The sequence below is a fragment of the Homo sapiens genome, chromosome 2 (genome assembly GCF_000001405.40).
Source record: "Homo sapiens chromosome 2, GRCh38.p14 Primary Assembly".
In the NCBI taxonomy this organism is placed as follows: domain Eukaryota; kingdom Metazoa; phylum Chordata; class Mammalia; order Primates; family Hominidae; genus Homo; species Homo sapiens.
Window position 1 is genome coordinate 42,207,777 of NC_000002.12, and position 18,395 is coordinate 42,226,171.

Here is an 18,395-nt window from a genome sequence, read left to right on the forward strand (position 1 = left end):
TATAAAATGCAAATTTATAATATTAAATGCGAATTCACCTTTGCTTCACTGATGAATAATTGATTTCCTAATTGTTCTGTGTTTTAGACAATCATATTTGAGCTATAGTTACATTATCTTATTTATAGGAAGTTTTTCCTTAAATGTTGCAGTGAAGATTGGTAATTGAGAGTCCTGAAAATGGCAGTATTTGGATATGAGTATGCTACAGTATTGACACTTTCTGAAAGTCGGACATCAGTATGCGAGAGCGTACTTCGTGATAGCAGCTCACACTTTCAATTTCACCTCTTCTTTGGTGGACAGGTACAAATTACATTTGTTTACTACCTTTTCAACTCATGTTTCTGCATTTATTCGTTTATTCTTCCTGGCCACTCTGGGAGGGAGGTCTTATGTCTTCTGAATAAAGGACAGTGGCCATAAGGTGAGTAAATGCAGAGTGAGTATTCAGATTTTGAGATAAATTTTCATTCTCAAACCTACTTTGAATCTGAGTAATTTTGCCTTACATCATTTAGAACCAGATTTTTTTAAAGTTCTGATTTTGTATATATAATCAAAGAACTAAAATTTATATTAAAAAATTTTTATTTTATGTTAAATGTTTTCTTTACAATAGATTTATTTTAGAAACCTACTCCTTTAATTTTTTTTCTTTTCTTTTCTTTTTTTTTTTTGAGACAGAATCTCTGTCGCCCAGGCTGGAGTGCAGTGGTGCAATCTCGGCTGATTGCAACCTCCGCCCTCTGAGTTCAAGCTATTCTCCTGCCTCAGCCTCCAAGTAGCTGAGATTACAGGCACCTGCCACCGCACCCGGCTAATTTTTTATGTTTTTAGTAGAGACGGGGTTTCACCATCTTGGCCAGGCTGGTCTTGAACTCCTGACCTCATGATCCACCCTCCTTGGCCTCCCAAAGTGCTGGGATTACAGGCATGAGCCACTGCACCTGGCCTGGAAGCCTACTCCTTTTATTTATTTTTTTACTTTTTTGAGACAGGGTCTCGTTCTGTCTGGCTTTTTTTTTTTTCAGACACAGAAAGCCACATAGAACAAATTTAAAGCTTGGTAAATTATTATGAAATGGACATCCTTGTAACCACAGTCTAGAACAAGAAATAGAAGTTAGTCACTTCAGAAGTCCCTATAGGTACCCATCCCATTTACAGTCTCTTTCCTCCCAAATTGTCTACTCCTAGCTTTTGTAGTAATCACTTCCTATTTCCTTATGGTTTTATCCCCTAAGAGTCCATCGCTAGACACTAGAGTTTAGTCTTCCCTTTTTAAAATAAAGTATTTAAACTGCATCTTTATAATCTAATTGTAAAGGAATGAGAAATTACAGTGTATTAAAAAATCACTAATATGATACTAAAAGCAGTTATTTGGAAACTCAAGGCCCTATATAGCTAAAAACATGGTTTCAAAACATGAAATAATTTTTAGACAATTATGTTAACTTTTCTGGTTTTTTTCCTTTTATACAAATACCACAAAGCAGAAGTGTACTTTAACTTTCTTTCAATACCCATCTTTTTTCCAAGATAATATGTTGTATTTCTTTTTATGTCGGTTATCATTTGTGAAGGGCTTTTTCAGTTTCTAAAACAGATATTCATGATCTGATTTAATCCTCACAGCAGTCTTGTAGGCATATTCTTCTTTCCATTTTATAGATGAGGAAATGATAATGTAACTAGTAGGTGGTGAAACTTTGATCGGACCTTTGATTAAAAAGGATTTCCTCATAAATGTTTTTCAAACTTTAGTTATCTGAGTACTGCCTTCATGATTTTCCCAGTCTCTTAAAACTATTACTATTTTACTTAATAATTTTATTTAAAATGACTTTTAAAAAACTGATAAGATTGGCCAGACACGGTGGCTCACGCCTGCAATCCCAGCACTTTGGGAGGCTGAGGCCTGTGGATCACCTGAGGTCAGGAGTTCAAGACCAGCCTGACCAACACGGAGAAACCCGGTCTCTATTAAAAATACAAAATTAGCTGGGCATAGCGACGAGTGCCTGTAATCCCAGCTGCTTGGGAGGCTGAGGCAGGAGAATTGCTTGAACCCAGGAGGCGGAGATTGCAGGGAGCCAAGATCATGCCATTGCACTCCAGCCTGGGCAACAAGGGCAAAACTCAGTCTCAAAACCAAAAAAACAAACAAACAAACAAACAAAAAAACCAATAGACTTCATTTAGAACAGTTTTACATTTGCAGAAAAATCGAGTAGATCATACAGAGTTTCCACACACACCCCCCATTCCCTTATTATTAATATCTTATATTAGTATGGTACATTATAATTTAAAACCCAATAACACATTGTATTAACTAAAATCCATAGTTTATTAAGATTTACTTAGTTTTTACCTAGTGCCTCTTTTCTCTTCCAGGGTCCCATCCAGTTGTCATATCTCCGTAGGCTCTTGGCTATGACCATTTTTTCAGGTTTTTCTTGTTTTTGATACCTCGACAGTTTTAAGAGCAGTACTGGTATATTGTAGCAGCTTTGGTGTATCAGATATATTGTAGAATGTCCCTCTTTTGGAATTTGTCTGATGTTTTGGGGAGGAAGACCACAGAGGGAAAGTGCCATCCTCATCACATCAAAAGAAGTATATGTGAGCAACATGACATCATTGATGTTGTTGAACTTGATCACTTCACTGAGGTACTGTTTGTTAGGTTTCTCCTTTGTAAAATTACTTTTCCCAACCCCTTTCTGTACTGTACTCTTTGGAAGGAAGTCACTATGCACAGCCCACACTTAAGAAGTGGGTGTGGAGTTATGCTTCACTTCTTGAAGACAGTATATTTACATTTATTTAGAATTCTTCTGTTCCCTTAGATAATTTTTTCAGTCATTTATTTATTTCAGTATGGACTCATGGATATTTTGCACTTTGGGTTAAGATCCAATACTATTTTATTTATTTTGTTATTCAGATTGTTCCAGCTTTGGCCATAGGTTGGCTCCTATGTTCCTTTGACATACTCCCACCTTTTTAAAAATAAAAACTCTTTTGAGAACTTCCTTACTTTCTGGCACTATAGAATAATTTAGTTTTTAGAGATTTATTTTAAGATTAATTTTATACCACTCAGTAGATAGAAAATCAGTTTATGGAAAATACTTGTGTTTACCTTAAAAATTGGTTATGTTTAAATATTAGCAAAATGTTAGAGAGGTATTAGGAACTGAGACTTTCTTCTCAAAGTAATCAGAAGGTCCATGTAATCTTCTGTCTCTTACACACTTCACTGGAGCATCCTGTCTCCTTTGCAACTATAACTCTTTTTAGTATTTGCTTTAACATTGATTGAAATACCTATAATGTGCTTGGTGTACCTACCACAGTAGATAGTGTGGAACATATAAAAGTATGAAATATGGTCTCCCATCATGAAGGGGCATACAGTTGGACTTTGTTAAGTCTGTAAGCATGGCTGAAAAAAAATCACATACTCCTGTGTGTTGTACAAAATGGTAGGGGTGTGAGGCTTATATGAGTTTAGGAAAGGAAGGGTTCTGTGTTGAATAGAATAAAAGGAAGAACTTCTTAGAGGTTAAACCCATCGTAGATCCTGAAGGTAGGTTATTGGGTAGGGGGGCGAGGTCATTTCTGATCAGAGACTGATTGAACATTATCTACAGAACAATGAATGAGGAAATTGGCTTGGGTGGAATCTTGTGTTGCTATAAACTGGAGTAGTCGGAAATTGTCTGAACCTGTGGATTAGTCCCCTCTGTAGTTAACAAGTGTGATATGCCTAAAGTGGTCATTTCTAATTATGAAAGGACTTGGATGTTTTAAACCTGCAGATAAAATGTCGTTAGAGAGGTTGAAAACTTTATCCTTCCCGGAAGGTTTCATACTTTCTTATTGAAACAGTGACATTTAAGTTGGGTAACTTTGTTCCTGTTACTGCATCGTGTGTTGCCAATGTTTTAAGTAGGGTAAAATTTACCCCTTGTCTTGGTGGGTAATGTAAACTTAGCCTGGCAGCAAACGTAGTATTTTCTTCCCAGACACAAAATAACCCACTTTCTTTTTCTTTCTTTCTTTTTTTATTTTTCGAGACAGTTTCACTCTGTCGCCCAGGTTGGAGTGCAGTGGCGCAATTTTGGCTCACTGCAACCTCTGCCTCCTGGGTTCAAACGATTCTCGTGCGTCAGCCCCCCAAGTAGCTAGGACTACAGGTTCATGCCACCACGCCCAGCTAATTATTTATATTTTTAGTAGAGATGGGGTTTTGCCATGTTGACCAGGCTGGTCTTGAGCTCCTGACCTCAGGTGATCTGCCTGCCTCAGCCCTCTAAAGTGTTGGGATTACAGGTGTGAGCTACCGTGCCTGATCCCCACTTTCAAATTGTATGTAAATATATGTAATGGCTTTCTTTAAGCCTTGTGGTACTCAGCTGTTTTGGAGACTTTCTGATCATCTGTTAAGATAAAAATGTTTTTGTTGATGGTTTTTAATTTCCTAATGAAAAATTTCTAATTTGTATTTTACTTTCAAAGTAATGCATGCTATTTGAAATTTGAACTAGTGTATATTTAATATCACCTTTAATGAATTAAATATTATACTTCCATATTTTAATAGCCATTTAAAAGTTTTTACTTAATTCCTTCAGCGTTTTAAAGAAAAGGACAGGAAATACATTAAAAGCAAACTCGGCAGTAGATTTTTTTTTTTAGCAATACATGTTTCATTGCATGAAATAGAATATTTTGTTAATGTTTGAGACCATTTAAAAAACCTTCCCTTCCTCAGCTAGTCCCTGCTAAAATTCTTTCTTAATTTCTTTTAATTTAGATCTCTTTTCTATCCAGTTAACAGATAAAATGGCATGACACCCACAGATACACTTACTGTATGTCCACATTATTCACTGCTACAGTAAGGCAGATAGTCCCCTTCATGCATTTCTATATCTTTATCACATTTTCCAGTGTTTCTCCCAGGGCACCACAGTACCATTTATTGGGTAGGGCATGAGAATATAAAAGTATACCTGTGGATATTTTAAAAGTAACTACTAGAGAAAGAGGAATTGGCAGTATTGTGTAGTGATAAAGCACTTGACTAAGAGTCTGAAAACCTGTATTCCAGTCCTGGCTGTGCCCTGTGTTCTGTAATCTTGGAAGCCAGTTTTTGCATTCTCATTTGGCTTATGTGATCTCTAAGTCACTTTCCAAAATTATATCATTTGTGCCATGGTTCTGCAAACAAATGAGCATATTAGTGTAACATAGTATCAATAATGAAATATTGGAATAACTCTGCTTCAGTTGTAAAAATGTTAGAATCTTACAGCTTTGCCCCCACTTCTTAAAAATGTAAACTTTTAATTGAAGTCTACCTTAACGTACAGAAAAAGTACACTCATGATAACATAAAACACAGATCACAAAACATTACCAGAATCCCAGAAGCTCCTTGGTGATGCCTTCTGGTCACTACTACTCCCCCTCCCACATCTAAGGATGACCACTCTCTTGACTTCTAACACCATAGGTTAGTTTTGGCTGTTTTTGGAATCACACAGTATGGCTTCTTGTGTCTGGCTTCTTTTGCTCAGTATTATGTTTGTACAATTTGTGTAGTTACATTTCCATAGCTATGTGGAGTTTTATGAATATATCATAGTCCATTTACCCAGTCTCCTGTTGGACTAACCATGAAGAAAAAATAAAATAAAATGAACTACATTAGGGTTAAGAAATTCTGGTAGTTTAAAAATACTTAATGATTGAATCTTTCCATTGCATACTTTTATGTACTATTTACATAAGCATTCAGATTGCAGATGTGTGCCTCAACTTTGTTAGCCTGTTGTCTCCCTTTTTCTTTTTCGCAGCAGCGATATGAATCTTTCCTTGCTTCCTTGACTAGAAAACAAGAATAATTTTCTAATGGTTTTAAAAGCATGGAAAAAATAATGGCAATAATTTAATATTTAAAATTTTTAGGTCTAGGAAAGATACAAGAATAGTTTACATTTATATTTTACAACTGGCTAGAAAGTACTTTTGTGTTTTCTTAAAACATATAAAATTAAGGATATTGATGACTTGTTTAGATACATCAATTTAAGTTTCTTTTATGCAGTTATAATTTGTAAGCTGAATGTATAGGATTTTAAAATTAATTCCATCAACAGTTACTGAGTACCTATTATGTGTGTAGTCAGAGAACTTTGTCTTATTGTGTATATCAAATATTATGGTAAACGGTGGGTAACACATATGTTTTGTGATCCCCCAATTTTTCCTAACATGTCAATGAAAACAAAAATGTAGAAGTTTAAAACATTTTACTGTTTTAAATTCAGTCATTTCTCTGTTAACTCTTTCTTAAGACAACAGCTTGGGCGGGAGTCACAGATCACTGACAAGATGTCAGATAGTGGATTCGGTATGAACTTAAATAGAAAAAAATTTATGTCTAGTACATTTACTCATATGAATATCATCCAAAGTATAAAAAATTAATGGTTTTAAAAAATGGACTGTTATTTGATGCTTACCTGAGTTTTTATTATAAGGCGTTTGTATATTTGAATAGGCTAGGCAGTTATTCCCAACTATGTAGCTTTTTCCTTTACTTTGTTTTCCTCACCTACTTATCCTAGAGTTTACAGCGGATTTTTTTTTCCCATTTTTTAATTCATTGAAAATGAATGTATTGCTAAAAATGAAGGATTTGGGCTAAATATTTAGTGATTAATATACCCTTATTGATCTATTCTGGTTAAAAAAACAAACACCTAATACTTAGTGGATTAAAACAACAATTTTGTTGTTATATCCAGCATTATTGTGGGTCAGGAATTTGGGCAGGGCTTGGCTAGGCAATTCTTCTTTTCCACTAAGGATACATGGTGATATGCAGCTGGAGGGTCGTACCTTTTGCATGTCTGGTGCGTTAGCCGGGATGGCTGGAAGGCTAGGCTTAGCTGGGACTGTCAAACCAAGTATGTATCTGTGGCCTCTGGTATGGTGGCTCAGAGTAGTTGGACTTCTTAAAGGGCAGCTCAGTTCTCCTGGAGAAAGTATTCCAGGAAAACAGTCTTAGATTCTGCAAGACTTATTCATATCTAGTCTTGGAAGTTACACAACTTTTGTTGGTAAAAAAGCAAGTCACAAGGCCAGCCTAGATTCAAAGGAGAGAACTACATAAGAGCATGACTACTGGTAGGCGTGTTTCATTGGGGGTTCATCTGTGGAGGCTAGCTATACTACAAGATCTATAACTCTGCATGGTAGATGTAAAACTTTTTTTTGAGACAGGGTCTCTTTGTGTCACCCAGGTTGGAATGCAGTGGCGTGATTATGGCTCACCGCAGCTTCAACCTCTCAGTCTCAAGTGATCCTCACACTGCAGCCCCCTAAGTAGCTGGGACTACCGATGCACACCACCACGCCTGGCTAACTTTTATATTTTTTGTTGAGATGAGGTTTTGCCATATTGCTCAGGCTGGTCTTGAACTCCTGGGATCAAGCCTGCCTCAGCCTCCCAAAGTGCTGGGATTATAGGCATGTGCCACCATGCCCAGCCATAAAACCACTTTTTAACAGAATGGTATTCAAATCTTATAATCCAAGCTGATTTTCATAAAATCCAACTACTTTAATATTTTATGTACCTATAAAAGCTTCCAGGGTACTCTGCAAATTTATTTCATTTTCTCTTGAAGTGTGTTGGCCTCAGACTAGATTTTTTTTCTGTTTTATTATAAAAAATGTTTAAGAAGCAAAAAAAAAAAATTTTGCAGTGAATACCTAATTATCTACCACTAAGATTCTGTAATTAACATTTTGCTATACTTGGGTTACCATATATCTATCTGTTATCAACCTGTTTTCTGGTGAATTTAAAAGTAAGTTGCGGGTACTCAGATACAGAGTTAAATTACTTTTTTCTTCCAATCCAAACCTTAAAGGACGGTTAGAAAATATAAAGAATCTTTATTGCTATACCTTCTCCCTTTGAGAACTTATTTCCTTAGAACTTTTAAATCTGCCTTATCGCATACCCAGCCAAACTTTGGTTTAGTTTTCCACAACTCTTACTCCTGATAGTGTCACTAAGATCTTTGTAAGAAAAGGAGAAACTCATTTATCTTTTTTTTTTCTTTTTTTTTGAAACGGAGTCTAGCTCTGTCACCCAGGGTAGAGTGCAGAGGCACGATCTCAGCTCACTGCAACCTCCACCTTCTGGTTGAAGCAATTCTGCTGTCTCAGCCTCTTAAGTAGCTGAGACTACAGGCACCCAACACCATGCCTAGCTAATTTTTGTATTTTTATTAGAGACACGGTTTCACCATGTTGGTCAGGCTGGTCTCAAACTCCTGACCTCAGGTGATCTGCCTGCCTCGGCGTCCCAAACCAAAGTGCTGGGATTACAAGCATGAGCTACCACACCCGGCCCACTTCTTTTTTTTTTTTTTTTTTTTTTTTTTTTTTGAGATGGTGTCTTGCTCTGTCACCCAGGCTGGAGTGCAGTGGCGCGATCTTGGCTCACTGCAACCTCTGCTGCCCGGGTTCAAGCGATTCTCCTGCCTCAGCCTCCTGAGTAGCTGGGATTACAGGTGTGTGCCACCACACCTGGCTAATTTTTGTGTTTTTAGTAGAGACGGGGTTTCAGCATCTTGGCCAGGCTGGTCTTGAACTCCTGACGTCGTGATCCACCTATCTCGGCTTCCCAAAGTGCTGGGATTACTGGCGTGAGCCACCAGGCCCGGCCCATTTCTTTTTTAATTATAAAAACAATCATCCACAATCCTAGTATGAGTACAGCTACTCTCATTAATATGTTACCTGTTCTTTTTCCATTTCATATCTCTACAGTTGTTGCTAGTGTATGTAATTAAAACATGTTTTGAATGTGTGACATTTTAAAGATTATTATAGCCAAACAATGAGTGCTTGCTATTTCACTGAATGGCTGGACTGCTATTTTTAACCATGCCACAACAATTGAGTTGCTTTCTTTGCAATGGAGGAAAGCTATTGAACCAAATTAAATACTGCTTATTGTCTAAAATTGGTTATATCCAAAGTTTATCCTACCCCTCTGACTCACACCCTTAAGTAAGAGTTGAAAGTGATGAAATGGCAGAGAAACAAAGTAGTTGGAAGGAATAAAGATCTACTTGGTTCCTGGTTGATTTTGAAACTGCAAAAGCAACAGACAAGGAAGTTAGAAAAAAAATATACAGTTTTCAACTGTAATAAAACATTTTTGTTAAGTAAATTTTCATTTTTTTAACCAATATTCTGACAGTCAATATTCTCATAGTTGGACTGAGTAAATTTTTTATTTAAAGTTTACCTGCAGATTTAAGCATATTAGAAACCTTTGGTGTCAAGCTCAAGAGCTATGACATATGTATATTTACTATGAATTTTATTTGTTTTTGTAGTGGAACTTCTTTTTGAACTCTAGACAAACAAATTGTAATCTTAGGGATACAGTCCTCCTGTACTGAACAGGATTATACTTAACCCATCAAGGCAGTTGAGTCTCTAAGTTTTTTTTTCAGAGAAAGCAATTCTTGATTGTCAAGATTCGTTCTTCTCAGAATTAACCTTTACTGTAAAAAAAATTCTTATATAACCCACATTCTTCATGTTATAGATTCAGTACATTTCTTGTTTGGCCCTCTGTGGAAACAGATGGTTACTGTTTTTCATTTAGTAACTTCAGATACTTGAAACCTAATATTTGTCTTTTAGGCTTTGCTGTGTTTGAATTATGTTATTTACATAATGCAGACTTAAACGTAGAGTTTTCTTTGTGGAATACTGTACCCATGAAAAAGATGCTTTCTGAGGATTCTTAAAATATGCTTCTGGACTACATTTGGTCATGTTTGTGTGTCCACATATTCGTTGTCTTAATGAGTAGTTAGGTAATTTGAACTACATTGCTTGATTGCTGAACTGTAGTTTTTAGAGGATATGTCCAAATATCAGATCTGTCAACCAATATTATAACCAAACTCACTAGCAAAAATGGTCTGAATTTGATCTCCTTTTAAATATGTAGATTTACTTCTAAATATGTAGAAGACATGGGGAATTTGATCTGGGTGCTGATCATCTCACTTTTGGAACATCCGTAGGGTACTGGATTGATCCTGTGATTAATTTATGGGTCTCAGTCAGATATGGGGTGATCCTAGAAGTTTGTGTAGTCTGTAATGAAGTGGGCTGTAGAACAGGGGTCCCCAACCCTCCGGGCCACAGACTGGTAGGAACTGGGTCACACAGCAGGAGGTGAGCAGTGGGTGAGTGAGCAAAGCTTCATCTGTATTTGCAGCCGCTCCTCATCACTCTCATTACCACCTACGCTTTGCCTTCTGTCAGATCAGTGGCATTAGATTTTCATAGGAATGCAAACCCTGTTGGGAACTGTGCATGCAAGGGATCTCGGTTGCTCACTCCTTATGAGAATCTAATGCCTGATCTGTCACTGTTTTCCATCACTTCCAGATGGGACCATCTAGTTGCAGGAAAACAAGCTCAGGGCTCCCACTGATTCTACATTATAGTGAGCCATATAATTATTTTATTATATATTACAATGTAATAATAATATAAAGTGCATAATAAGTGTAATGTGTTTGAATGATCCCAGCCCTCCCCCGCTGCCCCTAGTCTGTGGAAACATTGCCTTCCACGAAACCTGTCCCTGGTATCAAAAAGTTGTAGACTGCTGCCCTAGAGTATTCCAGATATTCTGTACTTGAGAATTACTACTTGGATCTCTCATGTATATGGATCTTCCTGAGCCTGTCTGAAGAGAATACAGTAGTGGAGGAAAGGAGAATTAAATTTGCCCTATCATAGTTAGTTCAGTGTCAGCCTTTCCTACTCGGTTCCTATCCATACAGCACAATACAATTCCATACTAAAGTACAAGAGTCCTCCTTTAAGTACTGAAGATGCTTTACTTTGACCACAAGAATATTTGAATTTTGGATTTTAACCAGTAGTATGGTAGTGGCTTCTTTTCAAAATCAGTGAAATTTCTTTTTTTAATTTTAAAGAGAGGGGGTCTTGCTGTGTTGTCCAGCCTAGACGTGAACTCCTGGGCTCAAGCAATCTTCCCATCTCAGCCTCGCAAGCAGCTAGGAATACAAACATGCACTGCAGCACTTGACTTAGTAAAAACTTTTAATGTAAGGTATAATGCAGTTAACTAATGCTTGTTATGCGTTTACTCCAAAATTTAACTGAAACACATTTGCTTGTTTCATCAGTGACATCATTTACACACCAATGACTCTTGGCCATGAAGAACCCACAGTGAACATAGAAAGTTTAGTTGTAGACCTTTAATTGATTAATTGTAGCAGAAACGGCATCAAATAAGGAAGAGCCCCCTTCATAAGGAAATACAGTTGACCCTTGAACAACACCAGTTTGAACTGGGCAGGTCCACTGATATGTGGATTTTTTCAACCAAACGTGGATTGAAAAATACAGTATTCCAGGGATGCCAAACCTGTGTATACAGAGGCCTCAGTTTTTGTATATGTGGATTGTGCAGGGCTGACTATGGGACTTGAGTATGCCCGGACTTGGTATATGTAGGAGTCCTGTAACCACCCTCCTGCATGTCTGAGGGATGACTGTAGATGTCTTTGAAAAGGTCTACCTGAAGTTCTGTAAATCTTAAGCTTGCTTTAGTTTCTACATTTAATTTTTCTTTTAGATTTTCATAGATTAGAAAATGACATTTTGCATTTAACAAAATTTTAAAAAATCAAAAAGTTTATGTATGTGGTTTTGTTTTGGTTTTGGTGCAGGACAATGCATTGAAAACCCCTTTCTGGCTGGGTGCAGTGGCTCACGCCTGTAATCCCAGGATTTTGGGAGGCCGAGGTGGGCAGATTACTTGACATCAGGACTTCAAGACCAGCCTGGCCAACATGGTGAAGCCCCATCTCTACTAAAAATACAAAAAAAAATTATTAGCCGGGCGTAAGGGGCGCATGTCTGTAATCCCAGCTACTTGGGAGGCTGAGGCAGGAGAATCACTTGAACCTGGGAGGTGGGGGTTGCAGTGAGCCAAGATCGTGCTACTGCAGTGCAGCCTGGGCGACAGAAGGAGACTCCATCTAAAAAAAAAAAAAAAAGGAAAACTCTTTTTTGCCAGGAATAGCTGCTTTGAAAATTTCTGTATAGGAAGGGCTTAAGGGGTGGCAGTTTGGGTAGGGGAGTATGTCTTGAAGATTTATTTTGTTGCTGCACATTATTTTCACTCATAGTGTATGTCATAGATCATTGGAAACAGCAAAATTCTCAAAAAATTGTTTTACTTATCTATAATACGTGTATAACACATAATTGAAAAAATACCAGTTATCCATATCAAATTCAGGCATACTTTGTTTTATTGTGCTTCATACTCTTGCACTTTGCAGATACTGTATTTTTTTTTTTTTTTTTTTTTACAAATTGAAGGTTTTTGGCAACCCTGCATTGAGCAAGTGTATTGGCCCCGTTTTTCCAACAGCATGTGTACCCACTTCATCTGTGTCACGTTTTGCTAGTTCTCACAGTATTTCAAACTTTTTCACTATTATTATATCTCTTACGGTGACCTGTGATCCATTACCTTTGATGTTACTGTTGTAATTGTTTTGGAGTGCCATGAGTGACACCCATTTAAGATAGCCTACTTAATAAATGTTGTGTGTTCTGACTGCTCCACACACTGGCTGTTCCTCTGTCTCTCTCCCTCTCCTCAGGCCTCCCTATTCCCTGAGATAACAATATTGAAATGAGGCCAGTTAATAATCCTACAATGGTTCTTAAGTGTTCAAGTGAAAGGAAGAGTGCACGTTTCTCACTTTAAATCAAAAGCTAGAAATGATGAAGCTTAGATGAAGAAGGCATGTCAAAAGCTGAGATAGGCTGAAAGCTAGGCTTCTCATACCAGACAGCCAGTTGTGAATGCAGAGAAAAAGTTTCTGAAGAGTGCTACTCCAGTGAACATATGAATGATAAAGTTAAACAGCCTTATTGCAGATACGGAGAATGTTTGCATGTTCTGAATATAAAGTCAGACCAGACACAACATTCCCTTAAGCCAAAGCCTAATCCAGAGCAAGGCTCTAACTCTCTTCATTTCTATGAAAGCTGAGAGACGTGAGGAAGCTGCAGAAGTTTGAAGCTAGCAGAGATTAGTTCATGAGGTTTAAGGAAAGAAGCCATCTCCATACATAAAAGTGCAAGGTGAAGCAGCAGGTTCTGAAGTGGAAGCTGCAGCAGGTTATCTAGAAGATTTAGCTAAGATCATTGATGAAGGTGGCTGCACTAAACAACAGATTATCAGTGTAGACAACACTGTCTTATATTAGAAAAAGATGTTACCCAGTACTTTCATAGCTAGAGAAGAGAAGCCAATGCCTGGCTTCAAAGGACAAGCTGACTGTTGAGGGGGTATTGTAGCTGATGACTTTAAGTTGAAGCCAGTGCTCATTGACCATTCTGAAAATCCTAGGGCCTTGGGATTATTCTACCCTGCGCATGTGTATGCTCTAGAAATGGAACAACAAAGCTTAGATGACAGCACATTGTTTACAACATGGTTTACTTTTTTTTTTTTTTTTTTTTTTTTGAGACAGGACCTTGCTTTGTCACCCAGGCTAGAGCGCAGTAGTGCTATCATGGCTCACTGCAGCCTCAATGTCCCGGGCCCAAGCAATCCTCCCACCTGAGCCTCCTGAGTAGCTGGGACTGTAAGCACACCCAACCATGCCTGACTAATTTTTGTGGTGTTTTTTTGGGTTTTGTTTTGTTTTGTTTTGTTTTAGATGGAGTTTCACTCTTGTTGCCCAAGCTGGAATGCAGTGGCGTGATCTCGGCTCATCACAGCCTCCGCCTCCTGGGTTCAAGGGATTCTCCTGCCTCAGCCTCCTCGGTAGCTGGGATTATAGGTGCCCACTACCACACCCAGCTAGTTTTTGTATTTTTGGTAGAGACAAGGTTTCGTCGTGTTGGCCAGGCTGGTCTCGAACTCCTGACCTCAGGTGATCCACCCACCTCAGCCTCCCAAAGTGCTGGGATTACAGGCATGAGCCACCACTCCAAGCCTAATAAATTTTTTGTAGAGACAGTGTTTCATCATGTTGCCCAGGGTGGTCTCGAACTCCTGGGCTCAAGCGATTTGCCTGCCTGGTCCCAACGTGCTGGGATTACAGGTGTGAGCCTCTGCACCTGGCCTAAAGTTGTCTTCTTCTCTCCTTAGTCTTCTCTCTCTGTAGCCATGGAGAAGTTGAGTCATGTTAATTAACACACCAGTGATTTCTGATTATGGAGAAGATAATTTCTCAGCCCTATTAATAAAAATTACATTTTCATTTGAGAGGAGATAGTTTTTAAAATTATTTTATATATTTTAAAATCAAATGGCATATTTGCTTATTTTAACAAATTTTTTGCAAGATAACCCCTGTTAACAGTTTAATTTGTGTCTTTCCATATCGGGTTGACAAACTTTAGCACTTTATGGCAAAATTCACTGTTTTGTATCCTGTGAGCCAAAAATGGTTTTTATATTTTTAAATGGTTGGAAAAAATCAAAAGAATATTTCATGACTCATTAAAGTTATATGAATTCTAATTTCAGTGTCCATAAATAAAGCTTTACTGGAACATAGCCATACACATTTGTATAGTTAATATCTGTAGTTGCTTTTGTGCTGCCACAGCAGAGTCCAGTAATTGGGACAAAGACCTTTTGTCCTACAAAGCCTAAAATGTTTACTGTCTGGTCCTTAACAGAAAAAGTTTGCCAACCCCTGTTCTTCATGTACACCTGCTTTCTTGTTTGCTTTTTCAAAAACAGGACATAAACTGTACTGTGTAAACAGTGAATATGCATTATCTTTTGCTTACTGGAAACTAACTTAAAATATATATCCATTGATCATGCATAGCCCTCCACATTGATATATAGAAATATAACGGTTCTTTTGTTTGTTTTGTTTTGTTTTGTTTTGTTTTTGAGATGGAGTCTCGCTTTGTCGCCTAGGCTGGAGTGCAATGGTGCAATCTCGGCTCACTGCAAGCTCCGCCTCCCGGGTTCACGCCATTCTCCTGCCTCAGCCTCCCAAGTAGCTGGGACTGCAGGCATCTGCCACCACACCCGGTTAATTTTTTTGTCTTTTTAGTAGAGATGGGGTGTCACTGTATTAGTCAGGATGGTCTCGATCTCCTGACCTCGTGATCCGCCCTCCACCCCTTCGGCCTCCCAAAGTGCTGGGATTACAGACGTGAGCCACCGTGCCTGGCCAATATAATGTATTTTTAATAGCTGCACAGATTCCATATTTAGATAACATATTTCATTCACTTGATCCCATTTTGATAGGTCTGATAGGTTTATAGTTCCCTCTCTCCCTGCTACATACATTGTTGTGTCAAAGCATGTGTATTTTTCATTTTTGTAGTGATTACGTAAAGATTACTGTTCAGAACTGAGATTTGTAGCAGTTCACAAATGCACCACTACAAATGTCCTAACTTCCTAGCCATTATTTGCTATCATTTTTTTGTTTGCTCATAAGATCAGTAAAAATTATTTTTATTTGCAAGACCCTGTCAAGTAATGAAGCTAAATCATTTGAACCTGTAAAGACATGCTTTGAAGTAGCTGAAGTTTAACGATTATCTCTGTTTTGTTTGTTTTCTGTTTTTTAAGAGCTCTTAAATGTCAGTAGTTAGAAATTACAAATTTTACTGTAGCAGGTCATCTTTCTTCTCCTTGCTTACAAGGAAGTAACCATTTTTTAGTCTTTCCCCATGACAAGAGTACAATGTGAGAAAGTTTGCTCTGCTTAGCCCAGATCTCTAATGTATATTGAAAACATCCCCATGAAAACACATCTAGATACTGTAAGAAACATCTTTGTTTACAAAGACCATTACATTTTCACTAATCTTTGGACAATTTGAATAAATATGCATAATAGTCTCTTAAGAAATGCTGGCTCTAGGCTATATTATGAAAAAGTTGAAGTTGCCCTTATCACTCCAGACTCTTTTTACCCCTTCATTTGTGCCCTCATGTAGGTGATTATTCTGGCCTTTTCACATACTAATAATACCACTACGGGTTCTCCTTCCTTTACCCTTGGGAAAATTTAAATTCTATTTATACCTTCTGAGGGAATTTACCGTTTAAATTATGAAAGTTTTTCTTGCTTATTGAATGAGGGTTTTTTTGTTGTTTTTGTAACAGCTGTTTTGAGATATAATTCACATGCCATATGAATCACCCATTTAAAACATGTACTTCAGTGGTTTTTAATATATTCACAGAGTTGTGCACAATCCATTTTAGAATATTTTTACCACAATAAGAAGAAATCCTGTATCCTTTAGCAGTCACTTCCTGTTTCTCCCAATCCCTATAGTTTTTAGGCAGCTGCTAATCTACTTTATCTTACAGGTTTGCCTGTTCAGGACATTATGTAAATTGAATCATACAGTATGTAGTCTTTTGTCACTGGCTTCTTTCACTAAGTATGTTTTCAAGATTTCATCCATGTTGCAGCATGTATCACTGTTTCGTTCTTTTTTATTGGAGTAATATTCTGTCACATGGGTATAACCGTGTGAGCACATAACTGTTCAACATTTGATGGACATTTGGGTTATTTCTACTTTTTGGCTCTTATGAACAATGCTGCTATAAACAGTCATGGGCAAGTTTTTATGTGGTCATCTGTCTTTATTTCTCTTAGGTGTATACTTTAGGAGTGGCGTTGCTGGATTATATGGTGCCTCTGTTTAACCTTTTGAAGAACTGCCAGATTGTTTTCCAAAGTGGCTGTACTGTTTACATTCCCACTAGCAGTATATGAGGGTTTCAATTTCCCCTTATCCTCACCAACACTTTGTCATTTTGATTATAGCCATCCTGATGGTGTGAAGTGGCATCTCATTATGATTTTTTATTGTTATAAAATACACATAAAATTTATCATTTTAATCAATTTTAACTTTATAGTTCAGTGTTATTAAGCACATTCACAGTGTTGTGCAACCATCACCCGTATGTTTTCAGAACTTTTTCATCATATTAGTAACTCCTCATTGACCTCTCCTTTCAGTCCCCGGTAACCTCTATTCTCTCTTCTGTTTCAATGAATTTGCCTATTCTAGGTACCTGGTATAAGTGGAAACATACAACATTTGTCCTTTTGTGTCTGGTTTATTTTACTTAGCATAATGTTTTCAAAGGTCACTCATGTTTTAGCATGTGTCAGAGTATCATTTCTTTTTAAGGCTGAATAATATTCCATTTTATGTATATGCCACATTTTGTTTATCCATTCATGTGTTTATGGACATATGGGTGCTTTCCACCCCTTGGCTGTTGTTAATAATACTGCTATGAACATTGGTGTATAAAAGTATCTGAGTCCACACTTTCGGTTCTGTTGGATTATATCTGTAAGTGGAGTTGCTTTGTCATATGGTAATCCTGTTTAATTTTTTGAGGAAATGCCCACTGTTTTCTATGGTGGCTAAACAGGTTTACATTCCTACCAGCAATGCACAAGAGTTCTAATTTCTCCACGTATGTTCATGTGCTTATTGATAATTTGTATATCTTCTTTAGAGAAATGCCTATTTAATTTTTTTGCCTACTTCTGGATTGCTGGATTGTAGGCCAAGTATATTTTCACATTTAGTAAGTCTTGCTGAATTATTCTCCAGAAGAGTTTGTCAATATATACTTCCCTTCAGAATGTATAAAAGTTCTGATGCTCTAAATCCAACTAACGTTGCCAGACTTTATTTACATTTTTTATCCAAGGATGTGTGAAATAGTATTTTGTGATTTTAATTGGCATGTGCCTAATTACTAGTGAGCTTGATCCACCCTTCTTCCCTCCCTGCAGATAGAAGTTTGCCTAGTCATGTCTTTTTTGCATTTTTCTATTGGATTGATGTGTTTTTTTATTGCTTTATAGGCAATATTGACATATTTCTTACATATGTTAATTTTCTCAATTTTTCAGAAATTTAAAAACTTGTTTTTTGAAGTGAGAAGAAAGCAAGTTGAATTTATGTCCTTGGGATTTAACATAGTTCCTGGCAAATTAGTCACTCAATAAATGTAAAATGTATAAATATTTTACAAACATCTAAAAATTTGTTTTATTTTTAAGGAAATAATGCTACCCAAATTAAATAACAAATGAGCTCTAATTGTGCAAAAAATGTGTTACTCATACCTTTATGGTAAAATAATGTATTGGATCTTCCATTGTTCATGCCGTAGACACATTTGTAAGTGGACTAGAAAAATAGTTACCAGTCTTTTCTTGGTATGATAGTCATTTATAGTA

The 18,395-nt window shown here is 37.1% G+C and overlaps 1 protein-coding gene across 7 annotated transcripts in view; it reads left to right on the top strand.

The window, feature by feature from the left end:
- The window catches only part of EML4 (EMAP like 4), a 163,196-nt gene that overhangs the window by 38,424 nt on the left and 106,377 nt on the right, over positions 1-18,395 (top strand). Inside the window, exons 2-3 of one of the 7 annotated variants that reach the window (XM_047443953.1) lie at positions 153-306; positions 2,404-2,681. The exons of 5 other annotated variants lie outside the window; for them this stretch is intronic. The gene's annotated coding sequence lies outside the window, so the exon portion shown is untranslated. The remainder of the gene's footprint in view (positions 1-152; positions 307-2,403; positions 2,682-18,395) is intronic. One more of the 7 variants, XM_006711992.3, reaches the window with a different exon arrangement.